Source organism: Homo sapiens, chromosome 15 (genome assembly GCF_000001405.40).
Source record: "Homo sapiens chromosome 15, GRCh38.p14 Primary Assembly".
NCBI classification, from domain to species: domain Eukaryota; kingdom Metazoa; phylum Chordata; class Mammalia; order Primates; family Hominidae; genus Homo; species Homo sapiens.
The window spans coordinates 91,910,118-91,925,335 of record NC_000015.10 but is presented as its reverse complement, the minus strand read 5'-3'; the positions used below and the strand labels follow the sequence as shown (position 1 = coordinate 91,925,335).

Sequence of the window (15,218 nt, the reverse complement as noted above, 5' to 3'; positions counted from 1 at the left end):
AACAATAGCAAAACACAATGCTCGACAGAAACCAAACCGTTCATGCCATCTGCTCTCACAGAATGCTTCTTGTAGGTGAAAAGGACAAAAAGAAAATGAAGCCAAGATTATTCTCTCTCAGAAAAGTAAACAGTCTTAACTGAAGAGAAACAATACGCATGTTATTAGAGGAAATGTCTCAAAATCTTTTTTAAGAACAATACCTGTGCCACAGTTGAAAAGCAAATAAGATGGGTGTGCCTTCCCCAGTCAGGTGCAGTAAGGAAGCCGGAGTAAAGAAGTAACTAGCAGTATTCTTTGACATCCTTCTGGAAGGAAAATTCCCTCACATGGACTTTCACCTTTCTTCAGGTCATCCTGGGCCTCTCTGGTCCTATTTCCTGCCTATCAAACACTTCAGTGCTATGTTCTAAAGTTTCTTCACAAAGATGCTCTTGCACACACAGTAAATATCTGTAGGCCCCAACCAGCCACAAATGGTTTTGGTTTCTGCATCCCAATACTCTCTTCGGGGAACCTTGAACCGTGCTTTTCTTCCTCTGGCTTAGGAAAATGGTTTCATTTCTTTCCAATCCTGGGAATCCCCATCATTGTGAGGCAGTAAGCAAGGTGTCAGTAGGAGTGGGTCCGCTCAGCAGTGGTGTTACCCTCACTCCTGCCAGGTTGTCCTCTGTTCGTGCAAGATCCCCTGTCCTCTTCCTCCAAATCCAATACCCCTAACATTCAGAACCACAGCGAAGAACACTTTTTTTCTGGCTGTGACATTCACAATGTGCGACAGCTTTCCTTTCTTTTCTTTTTTCGTGTTTTATTTATTTGCAACTCAAAAGATGAATGCAATTTGAAATTGATGGTCTTTTGAAATCAATGAATGCAATTTGAAATTGCCACCATGGCAAGCTACCGTGTGTGTTTGAGCTACCATGTGTTCGAGACATGCTAACCAATGCTGACTCGCAAAGGGCTTGGAGAAGATTTCAATGAGTTGGCAACTCAATCCTCTTGAAAAATACGGATTTCCAGCCTCTCTTAACAATCAGAAGATCTGGAAACACTAACTTTGCACTCCCACAGGGCAACAAATGGTGAAGGACGAGGCAAGGACCAGCTCCCCAGGCTCCACACTGTCTGCTTTTCTCATTCATCAGCTGCACCCCTTCAGCACTTAAGATTGTGACCCCTGAGCAGATGTGGAAGGGGGTTTCAAAACAAGAATGCCAACACCCATAGCCGGCCCAAAGCCCGTCTGCATGACACTCCTGGCCTCACTCATTTATCTTTTGGAAAAAGTCACCGCAGGGCCAGGGGGCTGGCTTTCAGCTCACACTGAATCTATCTGAACTAACCTGAGCTTTTAAAGTTTTCAGCCAACGTCGACAAGGCTAAAGCCACAGAGACATTCATCACCTAAATGCCCAACTAGCAAATTCCAGCATTTCTAGATTGACAAAATAATATGCAATTATCTAAAATGATGTATATTGTTTATGACCCAGGAAAAACTTTATAATATGCCAACTGATAAAAAGCAGGTTTATTTATAGTATGGTTTTTAACTAAGCAAAACGATATACAAAGAAAAAAGGCTGGAATAAAATATACCTAACTACTGACAATAATTTTCTATAGGTATCTGGATTACATATTATTTAGGTTTTCTTATTACATTTCTGTTTTTCTCAATGTTACTAAAATAAGAATACGTTATTTAAAAGAAAATTGAGCTAATATGCTTCCAAATTAAGAAGCGACATGCTAGAACCCAGAAAGCCAATCCATACATCACACTGGGGCAATGGCCATACTCTGGGCTGCCTCCAAATTAATACAAACTGGCTCTCCTCCTGCCTGGGGCAATGCTAGCACTTCATGCACTTTGAGATGAGCCACTGGAGGGGGTCTTCAGGAAAAGAAGAGCGCTGCTGGTTTAATTCAGGACTGAAGAGGTTGCTATTCTCAGCTCTATAAGATGGATCACATCCCAGGCTGAAAATCAGGTTCCAAGGGCTCTTGTCCAAAGATCTGCTCCTGCGTTTAAACAGTTCAGTCATGTATCCATCTGTGCCTTAATTTCTACATCTGGAAATGGAGATGCTATGACCATAAGGATGAAAAGGGCAGCATTTACTGATCCCCACCGTGTACAGGACACCTGACGTTCATGGAAAGCCTGGCCAGGTAGACCAGACCATTTTACTGAAAAGGCAAAAGTCTCAGGGCAATTGGAAACTCATCCAAAACCCAGGAGTCGTGGAGGGGCCAGGATTTCAATTTCAAGACTGTTGGGCTCCAGAGCCCACAGAGTCTTGTCCAAAGGTCACCCAGGCAGCAGGCACAGCGGTGATGCCATGAACCACAGGGCATGAGTTATGAGTGGCTGCGAATGAATGAGAAACACCTATCAGCCCAGGCAATATGGAAGCACCAGGTAAGAGCCACAGGCTGTTTCCTAGCAGGCTGCTACAAACACACTGAAAATGGCATGCGACCAGCAGCTGGGGAGAGGGAATGGAATATGGCCAAAACAAACTGACCACTTTTATAGTGCCATTTATTTTAGAAAAAGAAATTAACGAAGGAAACTTCAATATCAATGAAGTTGCAAGAATATAATGAGCAATGCTTGCTCCCACGAGAGATGGCTTTTTAATTATTTTTTCAGATGAACTTCAGTCACAGTATATTTGATCCATACCCAATCCACGTTCTTTGGAGAGTTAAAACACATTTTACCCAATGTCAAGTTAAAATAAAAACTCATCAGAGGCAAATAACTCTTTGCTCCCAGGGCTCTGAAAGGAAATTTGGTTCTCTTTGGTTGCTGGCCAGTATTCGGGGGCCCTTCGTACTAATCAAACACTTGGCAGATGAAATCTGAGAATTATTCTCTTTGCATTATTAACGGAAACACAGAGGGCTGCACTGGGGTTCAGGATAAGTGATAAACAAAGAAAACGTGACACATTTTTGTGTCTAATACGTGTGCCTCCTGAGTTAGAGCACTTGTTCTGTGTATTCAGGCAAACAGCAAAGCCTCCCTTCTCAAAGAACCCCTTTCCGCTGGCCAGCTCCCATTCTCTCCAGAACATCCATCCTCAGGAGAATCTGCCAGCCTGTCTCTGTGCCGTGTGTGTGTGTGCGTGCACGCGCGTGTGTCTGCCTAACACACACAACTCAAAATTATCTGGTTTCATCTTGATCCCAATCTGCATTCTTAAAACTGCATCATCCACATTTGATACAATTGCACAGAACTATACACAGACACACAAATGAGCACATATAAAACTGGAGAAATCTTGGCCGGGCGCAGTGGCTCATGCCTGTAATTCCAGCACTCTGGGAGGCCGAGGCAGGCGGAGCACTTGAGGTCAGGAGTTCGAGAGCAGCCTGGACAACATGACGAAACCCTGTCTTTACTAAAAATACAAAAAAAAAAGTAACCGGGTGTGGTGGCAGGCACCTATAATCTCAGCTACTCGGGAGGATGAGGCACGAGAATCACTTGAACCCAGGAGGCAGAGGCAGCAGTGAGCCAAGATGGCGCCACTGTGCTCCAGCCTGGGTGACAGAGTGAGACTTCATGTCAAAAAAGAATAAAAAAAAAAAAAAGAGAAATCTGAATAAATTTTATGGATCACAGCAATGTTAACTTCCTGGTTTTGCTACTGTGTGATAGTTACCATGACATCAACAGCAGGGGAAACAGGAAGAAGGATACAGGGGACTTTCCTGTATTTTGCCACAACTTGTGATTCTGTAATTTTTAAAAGTTATTTAAAAAAAAAACTATATCATCAATTCCTCAAGTACTTAGAGAGAAAAATTACAATACAGCTCCTTACCGAAAACTTTTGGCAAAGAGGCAGGAGTGTAGTCTTGGTTTGGTACTAATCTCTTTGGTGTCTGTTATGGGCTGAATAGTGTTCCTTCCCCCAGATTCATATATTGAAGCCCTAACCCCCAGTACATCAGCATGTGACTGACTATATTTGGAGATAGATCCTTTAAAGAGGCAATTAAGGTTAAATGAGCTAATATGGGTGGGTTTAAACCAATGTGACTGGCGACCTTGTAAGAGGAGTAAATTGGATACACAGAGAGACCAGGGATGTGTATGCAGAGGGAAGACCACGTGAGGACACAGGTAGAAGGCAACCATCTGAAATTCAAGGAATGAGACCTCAGAGGACGCCAACCCTGTGGCACCTTAATCTTAGACTTCCAGCCTCTAAAACTATAAGAAAATATCCTTCTGTCATTTAAGCCTCCCAGTCTGTGGTGTTTGCTTAGGGCAGCCCTAGCAAACTAATACAACGCCATATCCCACATCCCCCATTCATCTGGTTTTGTCCTCTGGTAATGAGCTCCCCAGCCCTTGGCATCCCTCTTAAGAAGGAAGTATGGTAGGAAATCCATCAAGCATGGAGCAAAGGTCTTAGCTCCGAAGAGCTAACTAAGCTTTAGATACCATCCGCCTACCCATGAAAGGTTAGTGCTCAACTATTTGGGGAGCCATCAAAATATGGAAGAGGGATAGGGATTATTCATGGTAGATCCAGAGGGCATAACCAGAACCCAGGGTATGGGAAGTTGTAAGGTGGCCTATTTCTAACACAACACTTAAAAAAACCTCCTAGTGGTTACTGCGGTTCAAAAAACAGAATGAATGGCATGTGAAGGTATGGCGCCCACACTGCTGGAAAGAGCTGAGCGAAAGATGCAACAGATCAGTTGCTCCTGCCCCAGATGTCTAAGGTCTGATTTGCAGCCATCTCAGCTCAAAGCACTATGAAACAGGGGTGCAACCTCTTTACAGAACTCAGACCTGAACCGTTAGCTAGGACCACCTTCCTCTCTCTCCATCCTACCTCCAATACTCCATTCTGGCTCTGACACTCATTCTCCATTTCAGCAGCACCTCTCTCCTTGGACTCCAGACACACTGCTGTCTTCCCACCTTCCTGGCTCCTGCTGCAATTTGTATGCCCAGGAGGCTTCGGGCTGTCTCGTGGAATGCCCTGGCTTGCACCTGACTCCCTGGACCGTGCACCACCCTTGAGCTCCCATCCCAGCCTCGTGAGCAGATCCCAGACATACCTGAAATAAGCATCACTTTCAGACCCACAGCCCAGCCCTATCCAGGTAAATGAGCTTGGGTAAGTTACTCAACCTCTCGGAATCACAGTTTACCTATCTGCTTTGTTTAAAACAGCAAATATTTTAAAAATCCATGTCCAACTATAGAAAGTATTAAATATTGTCGTATATATTCAGAAGGGATTATATATGCAGCAATGTCATAGAATAGTAACAAACAAATGCTCATGAAATAGTAAGAGAAATGAAATTACACAAAACATCATTTATCTTGAACACATTTTCATAGAAAAGCATGCTAATGCAGAAGAGAGAATAGAATTGTGTACACCATAAAGCTACAATATTCTCTAATTATTCTTTTTCTACATATTCAAAATTGTAAACGGTGAACATGTAATGCTTTTTAACTAGGAATAAAGTTATTGAGAAATCTTTAGTACTCCCATTTCACCTTTTCCTCCTTGAAAAAAAAAAGGGGGGCAACCTAATGAAAGGGCACAGTAAGCCCATTCCATCATCCTACTTACACTTTCATAAAAAGCAAATACGACTTGTGTTCTGAACTTAGAGAAACAGAAGGACAGCTAAGAAAACTGGGCTAATGGAAGATCACAACATGGAGCTAGAGGCATGACTAGACTCCCAAAGAATGGATTCTCCGACCTCAGTAGGGGCCCAGTGGTCTCCACTGCCACTGCGCCCATGTAGTCACTCTAGGAACAAAGAGTGCCACGTGCCACCCACGGGTCACCGTCTGGCTGCACTGTGAGTCCGGGTGCCGCATGATGCCGCAGTGAAAGCCTGCCAGCAGAGCCGAGTCCCCATTCATCCAGTTTTGTCCCCTGGTAATGAGCTCCCTTGGCTCCCTCCCACACTGGAAAGGACGGGCTGAAGAATGGTGCCAGCCAGAGGAGCCCCTTGTGAATAGCCCATCCAGGAATCCAGGAATCTGGCAGCGGCTCAGCCACAAGAGGCCAAAGCAAGTAAGTCATTTCAGTGGAAAATATCGGCTTGATTCAAGATGGAATGCTTCACTTTGCCCTGGGTTGTAGTGGAAGCTACGACACGGCCACCGATGTACAAACAGCACCCATCTAGTGACCCACAATGCGGGTGACCCGGGGCAGGTGTCATCACCACTGATCTGCAGCCTGAGCTGTGCATGTTGATCATTCTGTTCCCTGCTGACACCCAAAGGGAAGGCTCAGCTCAAGAACAAGCTGGTGTTTTACACATGCCATATTTAGAATCCTTTCAATCTCCACTATAGTGTCACGATTTAGGCATATGACCAGACAATTGGTTGTGGGCCCCTCTCTAGACCAACTCTGCAGGAGCTGGAACCAGGGGTACACATGTTATTCCTCCCCGATGGATATACAGTTACACCTACAGTCCCAGCATCAGTCCCTTGAGACTTTCCTCCTCTTCAGGGAGTTAAGAGGCCAGAATTTTATATCAATCCTGTTCAGTGGGCTACCCCAAATACTGTGAAGTAAAGTTAAGTGGCTTCAGGAACTAGTGCCATATTAGAGGAGATAAACTCTGAAATATTCTCACTACCACAAACACTTTTTTTATAGCTCATACAATAAATAAATGAACCAGTTATACTCTGCATATGCTATGATCTTAAATTATACCTGGAGAATAAACCACATATGGAATAAAAGGCCCCCTATTGAGGCCAATCTATGCAAAAGACTTGTCCTCTCCTGATCCCGATAAACACAAACCCATGTAAACCAGTGCAGAGAAACCCAGAACTATCATCTCCATGGCATGGGCTACGATGTTTTGGAATCTGGCCATATGTAACAGAGCCACCAAGATGTTCGTATGTCATGCAAAGAGACACTCCCCCAACTCAGACTTATCACAGAGGAATGGGGTGACCAAATAGAAATTTGGCTGAATAGTTCTTCCTACCAAAGACTCAATGCAAATCCCACAGACAAGGCCTCAGAATTCAAGAAGGCCTTCTGCCTCAAATGATCAGCCCTACTGTCCACGCCTCCACCTCCCACACCCCCATGTCCCAAACCAAAGTGCTTCCTCACCATAAAGCTTTTGGCACATTCAAACCAACCCTCACCCAGTGTGGGGAAACAGCACAGCTTAACTCATCAGGAGACACTTCCAGAAGAGGGTTCAGTGACTACGGCTGGAAGCCCCAGGCAGAAGTGATACAGCACTGTTAGGACTTCAGGGGTGACTCTGGGGAGAAATTTTTCTACTTGATTCTATCAGCAGAGACAACAATTCAGGTTTTCACTCCCCATTTCATTCCCTGTGCTCTGATTGATCTACTTCCTGTTATTCCTACCAGAAAACAACTCTCCCAGAGCCCTAGGGTGACATCAGTCAAGTCAGAGGGTGGACCTCAGGAGACCTTTGTGGCTACATGCTGTAGTCCATGATCTGGTGTGCAAAAAACTCACGTGGAGCGGCTTTCACTCAAGACTTAAGGCAATGAAAGAAAAATGATTACCTTAGTTTCCCTTCCTCCACCATAACCACTCTCAGGTAATAATGGAAACCCCTAACCATCTCTGGCCTGAGCCGTTTTCTCTTCCCCTTTGTTCCATAGGTAGCTGGTGACTAGGCTCACTGGTGCTCCATCCTCTGAATGGAGAGGCGCATTCCTTCCATCTTTCCTGCCCAGAGCCTGCTCACAGCCAGCCAGAACATCCGCGTGCAACATCCGTGTTCAGTAAACGCGTCTACTCCAAAGCTGGGCCAGAAAGACACAGAGAAAAATCTGCATTTCGGTGTGTCCTGCTTCCAAACCATCCTATCTCAGCAAGCTTGAAGCCTGGCAGATAGGAACCTTTATGTCAAATCCAGTTCAAATTCTATTTTCACTTAAAACTCCATAATATAATTAACTTTCTACCTCAAGGCACATTGCTTTTGGGAGGCATAAAGCTTCCCTGGGTAGAGGTAATGTTTTCAAAGCTTAGCACTCAGTGACTGGGGATGTCAGAAAAATCCAGCAGCTGGCAGGAGACAGAATTATACTTTGTAAACAAGGGATAGAGATGCGGGGCTGGCCAGCCCTCACCTTGCACGCTGCCATCCAACAGAGCCCACCGCAGCCACTGAAAACACTGCCCGCCACGTAATAAACAACTTGCCACTCAGATGATTCTTAACCCCCACGCACAAGTGGTTTCCATCCTTCCAGTATAAAACATCAGAAACTCTGACCGTGAAAAATAACTTTTCAAAACACAAATACCTTATTTCTCTCTACATACCCAATTCCCATGCATACTTCCATTATTGAAAAAATTACCGGAAGTCACCAACTTCGAATGATGCCAAATGCTGGCAAAGCCATCACCTCTCCTTTTGAGCTGCAACAGGACAATGACCAGGACATCATTCTGATTCTTCAAAGCTGGAGTTTCCAATGTGTAGACCCCAAGTATACCTTGGTGGCTAATATCAGAAAGCCCAAAGTCCACATACGCACTCAAAAAGAAGAGATAAACATACAACTCCTCCCGATCATGTTTTCCCACTGAAGCGGTGTTAGTGGTCTAGCCCCGTGGAGCTCAAATTCGGCCGCTCACAAGAATCACCTGGGAACTTTTAAAAACGTCTCAATGCCCAGGTTGCACCCCCAGGCATGAGTATTTTTCAAGAACACTAGGTGTGCAGCCAAGTCTGAGAACCAGTACTCTGGCAAAATCAAAGTCCACCAGGCCACCTTTTATCCATGGTCAACACACCCTGGTCTCTTGCTAATACGGCTGGGGCAGCTCCTACCTATATAGAGCGAGGAGTCCTTCCTCCGCACGTGGTCGTCGATGTAGGAGACGCCCAGGGGCTGCACAGGGGTAGCACCGATGCCCAGGAGCACCTGGGCCCCAATGAGCAGCAAGTACATCATGTTGGTAGCCGTCCGGTTGCGGCAGATGAGGTCGGGGTCGGGCCCCTCGTCGCCGCCCGAGCCGTTGGCTGCGCAGACGTCGCGGCCCTCGGCGCCCCAGCGGATCTCGCCCGCCTCGTACTTGTACTGGTGGGTCAGGAACTCGGGCAGCGCCGACAGCAGCGCGCCCAGCGCCATGACGATGCCGCCGCAGCCGATCAGGCGCGGCCGGTGCCCGCGTGCCCCGAAGTAGCTCACGAAGAGGATGAGCGCCAGGTTCCCGATCTCGAAGCTGCTAGCGATCACACCCACGTCAGCGCTCTGCAGGTTGAACCTACGCTCCAGGGTGGTCAGGACGCTCACCTGAGGGGGGCAAGAAGAAAGGTCAGAGCCAATCCAAGAAGATGCCCAGGAAGCCTCTCCTTCCCGCCTGACAGTGCGCTCTGCCCATCCCCCCCGGGACCCTCCCACCTGGCCTCCGGTGCCAGGTGCAAAAAGGCAGCTGTGTAAATGCCTTTTAACCTGACGAATCAGAAAGACGTTTATTTAGTATCATAACCCTAATTCAGTTAACGAATTCACTTTCCCAGTAGCAACAATGTTTTTTCTGGCACCTGTTTCCATCCTGAAAGCTTCTACCCTCTTCCGGAAACACTGCATTCCCCACCCCCACAGACCTCCACCACAGACAGCCCATGAAAACCTATAAAAGTCCTGAAGTGCGCGGTTTGCACACACTCCCAAATATATACTAGGGATAAAGTCCATGCCAGGAAGACAGAGGAGCCAGGAGATTTTCCGCAGGAGGTTAGCAAAGCCTATCCCCCACCTCAAAATAAAAACAAACTTAACAAAACCCAAGTGGCAAAATGCACAAGCTAAATCAGCCCAGCGGGGTAATCATTTGCTCTTTGCTTCCGTCTGGAAATTTCCAGTGTACATTTCCCCAGAGGCCATCAGGTAAATACACCCCTGACTGTTCTAAGCACTATGACCCTGCCAAGTACCCTCCAACTGAATATTATGATTTCCCCCGTTTTTTTGTATTCTTGTCTGCCCTATGTTTGTTAAACATATACCGAACATCTGCTGCTTGCCAGGCAATGCCCTAGACACAAGAGAAAAGTGATGGAGAGAGGACATCTGGCCTGAAGAAGCCATCTAGCAAGAAGGTAAACATGTACCTAAGAATAACACAAAGGGACTGGAGGTGAGATGTGTGATGCAGACCTCACACCAAGGGGGCCATGAGGAGATGCATTCTTACAGGGCTTCTTAAAGTGGTAAGAAAATGAGATGGCTACCCTCTGCTGCTGTGTGCAAATTCCACGCAGGGTGCTGTGAGCAAGACAAGAGTCCTTGTCATGGGAGATCTGACAGCTGAATGATGTCCTCGCTGAGTAGGGAAGAACATTTCAGGCAAAAGGAACAGCATGAGCCAAAGATAGGTGGCATGATTTCATCATGGAAGAGAAAATAGCTGGGGCCGGGAGCAGTGGCTCACACCTGTAATCCCAACACTTTGGGAGGCCGAGGTGGGCAGGTCACTTGAGGCCAGGAGTTCGAGACCAGCCTGGCCAACATGGCAAAACCCCTTCTCTACTAAAAATACACAATTTAGCGAGGCGTGGTGGTGCATACCTATAATCCCAGCTACTCAGGGAAGGCTGAGGCAGGAGAATTGCTTGAACCCTGGAGGCGGCGGTTGCAGTGAGCTGAGATCACACCACTGCACTCCAGTTTGGGCAACAGAGCGAGACCTTGCTTCCAAAAAAAAAAAAAAAAAAAGGAAGAAAATAGTTGGAAAGGTGGGGTGAGGACAAATTGTAAGGAGCCACAAATGCCACAGGGGTGAATTTAGACAATCCCGAGCAATTAGGTAGACACAATACAGATCATGGAGGGAAGAAAACCTGGTTTGAACCCCTGTTATTATTTCCTTAGCTCTGTGTCCTCAGTCATGTTACTCAAACTCTCCCAGCCTGGATTCTACAAAACAGGAATCATAATATCTAATCAGCAGGAGGGATGTGAAGATTAAAAATAATGGATGAAAAGTCTGTTAGCACAGAGCAGCCTCTCCCTTCCTACATGGCAGGAGTGCATGGAGAGAGGCAGCAAAACAGAGGCTCTAGGGCCAGACCACCTGGGTCCATCCTGACTCTGGCTGACCTTGACCAAGTTACTTTGCGCGTTAGTTTCCCCATCTGTAAAAGGGGGATAAGAGTGCTACCTCATAGAGCTGGTGTCAAGAGTCAACAACACATACATGTAAATGCTAGGGAAGGGTCAGCTATAACCATTATCATTATCATTTATCTGTGAACACCGGAGAACAGCAAAGGTTTAATAGTGTAGGGGTCACACCAGGTGTGGTGAATGGAGGGTGGAAGAAGGCCAGCAGTGAAGACAGCTGGGCCATATTGAGAGAGGGGAGAAGAAAAGGCCACGTCAACACACTGGCAATGGAAATGAACAGGAAAAGATGTAAGAAGCATTTTAGGGCAGAGTTCTATTTCAGGGAGAATGAGCTGGATCTGCTGACCAACCGGGTGTGTCTACTAAGGAAAGGTCAAAAAGGAGAGTCATATGGATCTAACCTTCCTCCAAATCTACAAATATGGACACTGTTGTAAACGTCCATGCATCTACAACCTCTGCAGTGTCCAGATACGTGTATCTATGCACATATAAACATACGCCTGTGCTAATTAGCATGCTTCTATTCAATTTCCCGTTACTAAAAAAACAAACCAAAAAAATGCTATAGCCAGGTGATTCCTCTTAGCCTCATTTTCAAACCCACATATTTAAACAAACTCCTTGAGCCTAGTGGTTCTCAATCCTACCTGCAGATTGGAGGCACTCGGGGAGCACTAAAAATTTGAGAGGCCTGGTCCCACCTGGGAGGTTCTGACTGAACTGGTCTGGGGAGTGGCCTGGGGGCCCTAGGACGCTTTCAAAGCTCCCAGGTGATTCTAATGGCAGTGAGCAGCGCGGGGCTAAGGCCATGACACCCATTATTGGGGGTCTCTCTTTCAGCCCTGGCCTTCGGCAAGCTCTGCAGAGCAGGGTTATGACATCTGTGACACCCTCTATCTCTGGCATTCTGATCCCAACTCCTATTTCTATTGTGCTTTCTAGACAAGTCAAGGCCAGCTTGCAGATCACTCAGCCCTAGTTATGTGATTAGACTGTTACTTTTAAAACACCAGGTGTTTGCCGCTGTTCAGAAACGAAGTTTAGCTAGTCCTGGCATCATTCAAATGGCTTTTAAATACTGCCAAAGAAGTTCTGTCTGAAGGGTCTGGGCAAGTAAAAACAAATTCATTTATTTACTACTTTCCTTCGCAACACAAACAAACATACATACATGATGGAATAAATGATTTACCAGAGGTTTATAATAGGTGATGCAATGTGGCAACAAAAAGGAAGGCAGCCTAAAGACCTGGGAGGTAGGGGGCTTTGGGGAGCCTCGCCCAGGCCTTTGTGTGAGTCTTGAGAGGTCCAAAGGGGACTGGATGCAGAAGTGGAAAAGAACATGTCTGGGTGGGGTCCCCTAGAAAGTCACCCCCGGAGAGGTGGCTGAAGCAGTCTGGTAGGTCTTCAGCTTTAGGACCCACCATGAGGCTGGAGGGTAACAAAGTAGGGGGAAGGGAGAGAACAGAAGCTGTATCTCATTTTTGCCATGATGCCTCATGACATACACACAAGACAACAAATCTGAAACATGACAACTGCTCCATTTCAGCAGGTGTGCTGTGTCATAAAATATCATGCAGGTGTGCACATTGATGACAGATAAGGGTGATTGGGACAGAGACAGCTGTGGGCAAAACAAAAAATAATCAGTTCTTTTAGAGACAGATAACGCCCGTGCCTGCAGCTCTTGTCCTGGCTCCCACCTGCTCTTTGCAGAGCAACGCACAGGGGTGACAGGAAGTAGTACGGTCTTTCCCTCCTTGACCTGTGGCCTTCTGCTGGGCTGCAATGCCAGTCTGGGAAGTCATGCAAAGATTCTGAAATGATGCTTTGTGGATCAATTAGATCAGAGGCTAATGTTTTCACTCATTTAAAACACAATTTTGAGAAGACAGACTAAGTATGCATGAGGCCATAAAACCCACTTGTAGCCTTTATGTGGCAGTGAACAACCCAGCCTGAGGAAGAGCATGTGGAAGGGAATGACTGCCTTTACTTAATGGGTAACAGGACTAATGGAGAAGGTCTTGATAATTAGAGAAGAAGGAGCCATAACTGCAAGAGGAAAAGGAAAGAGGAAGCGTCCTTATCCTGAACCAAGTGTATATGAAGTTATTATGTAAAGTATGCAGTATGTATCAGGCTTCTACAATGATTATTCAAAAAAAAAAAATCAGCTTGCATTTCAGAATGTCCTGGGGCAATTGTTAAAAATATAGATGTCCCGGCCGGGCGCAGTGGCTCACGACTGTAATCCCAGCACTTTGGGAGGCTGAGGCAGGCGGATCACAAGGTCAAGAGATCGAGACTATCCTGGCCAACATGGTGAAACCCCATCTCTACTAAAAATACAAAAATTAGCTGGACGTGGTGGCACATGCCTGTAGTCCCAGCTCCTCTGGAGGCTGAGGCAGGAGAACTGCTTGAACCCGGGAGGCAGAGGTTGCAGTGAGCCAAGACTGCGCCACTGCACTCCAGCCTTGGTGACAAAGCAAGACTCCGTCTCAAAAAAAAAATCTAAATATCTATATAGATATAGATACGTATATATATAGATAGATATAGATATGCGTCTGATACCCAGCTGGAGATGAGGACCACTGACCATTCAGGCACCAGGCACATACTCACCATCATTCTAGAACCAAGGTTCTCAACCTTCATTGGCAGTAAAATTACCCCCAGAGAGTGTGAGACTGCTGAACCCCAAGCCCAGAGTCTTTGATTTTGCAGGTCTGGGGTGGGGTCTAGACTATGCGTTTCTAACAAGCTACCTGGTGACACTGATGCTGCTCATCAGAGGACCCCACTTTGAGTACCTCTGCTTTACTCAGCTTCCTCTTCTCAACTAGCCTTCCCCCATTCAAAAGATGAAAGAGTTTAAGTTATCTACAAATTGAAATTATCGCCTCCTCATTTCCAGTTCATAGAGACACTGTCTCCTCATGTGGGAAATGTTGGGATGCATTTCTGGGAGCCTCACCTTCTGGAAAGTGCTGAAGTCACACTAAGGCCAACTGAAACTATCAGCACTTAGCCCAAAAGGGAGAGCTTCAGTCTATGTTGCCATAGGACAGGACACATTCAGAGGCCACGGCCAAGTATTCATGAGCCCATCCTCACCTTCAAAAGGTGCCAACCAGGGGCAAGGTTATCAGGCATTCACTTAACAAAAAAACACTTATTCTTAGGGGCAGGCAGCAGCAACTCAGGGGCTCTCCCAGAGGTGTGTCCATCTTCTCACTCTGGTCTGGGTGGCGGGGCCTTGGCCTGAACTGGCATCACCTGAGCTTTTGAAAAACACCTGTGCGTGTCCTCCCACCTGCAAGACTGGGCATCTGTATTTTCAGAGTTCCCTGGGTGACTCTAACATGCATGCAGGTAGAGGCGTGTGCATGTGTATCAGGTGGCAGAGAGGTTGTGCATGCATGGATGTTTACACCAGAGCAGCCTGGTCCTATCAGTGTAAGTCTGGAGCAGGAGAGCCTCGAGTTCCCATCTGGCTTTGACAGCATTTGGTCAAGTCAATCTTCCTGAGCCTGTTTCCACACCTGTGTGGTGGAGAGAACAATACTTGCTTCTGCGGACATTAATGAAGTCATACATCAGAGCAGCTGGCCCACAGTAGGTGCACACTAAAAAGCTAGCCACATCACTGGTGTGCATGCTCTGTGACTTCACTTCAAATTCAGTCCCACACAGCCAAGTGCCTGCTCTGTGATAGATGCAAGAAACATAACCATGATTAAGAGAGCATGCTGCCTTGTAGGAGTTTACAGTCTGGGGACAGCAGAAAGAAACAATCTAACAATGGTACAGCCTGCAACAGGGTAACAGAGTGGCAGAGGGTTTGAGGGAGCAACAACATTCATTTGGCTGTGTGTGGAGGAATATATACCTGGGATGCAACAAAGATCAATTAGATTTTAATAGCTGTGGGAGGGGAGAGGCTGCCACAACATTCCAAGAGCAAAGATCAGTGGCGTCAAGGAGGCTGGCAGAGGGAGAGTTTAGACCACCCCTGGGGAAAGGC

At 46.4% G+C, this 15,218-nt stretch overlaps 1 protein-coding gene across 3 annotated transcripts in view; it reads right to left on the bottom strand.

Moving 5' to 3' along the window:
• Positions 1-15,218, bottom strand: part of SLCO3A1 (solute carrier organic anion transporter family member 3A1) — a 318,728-nt gene that overhangs the window by 247,100 nt on the left and 56,410 nt on the right. For all 3 annotated transcript variants that reach the window (NR_135775.2, NM_001145044.1, NM_013272.4), the window contains exon 2: positions 8,878-9,343. Coding sequence is in view for 2 of the 3 variants with exons in the window: in NM_001145044.1 (NP_001138516.1) it covers positions 8,878-9,343 (466 nt within the window). In the remaining variant the exon portion in view is untranslated. The remainder of the gene's footprint in view (positions 1-8,877; positions 9,344-15,218) is intronic.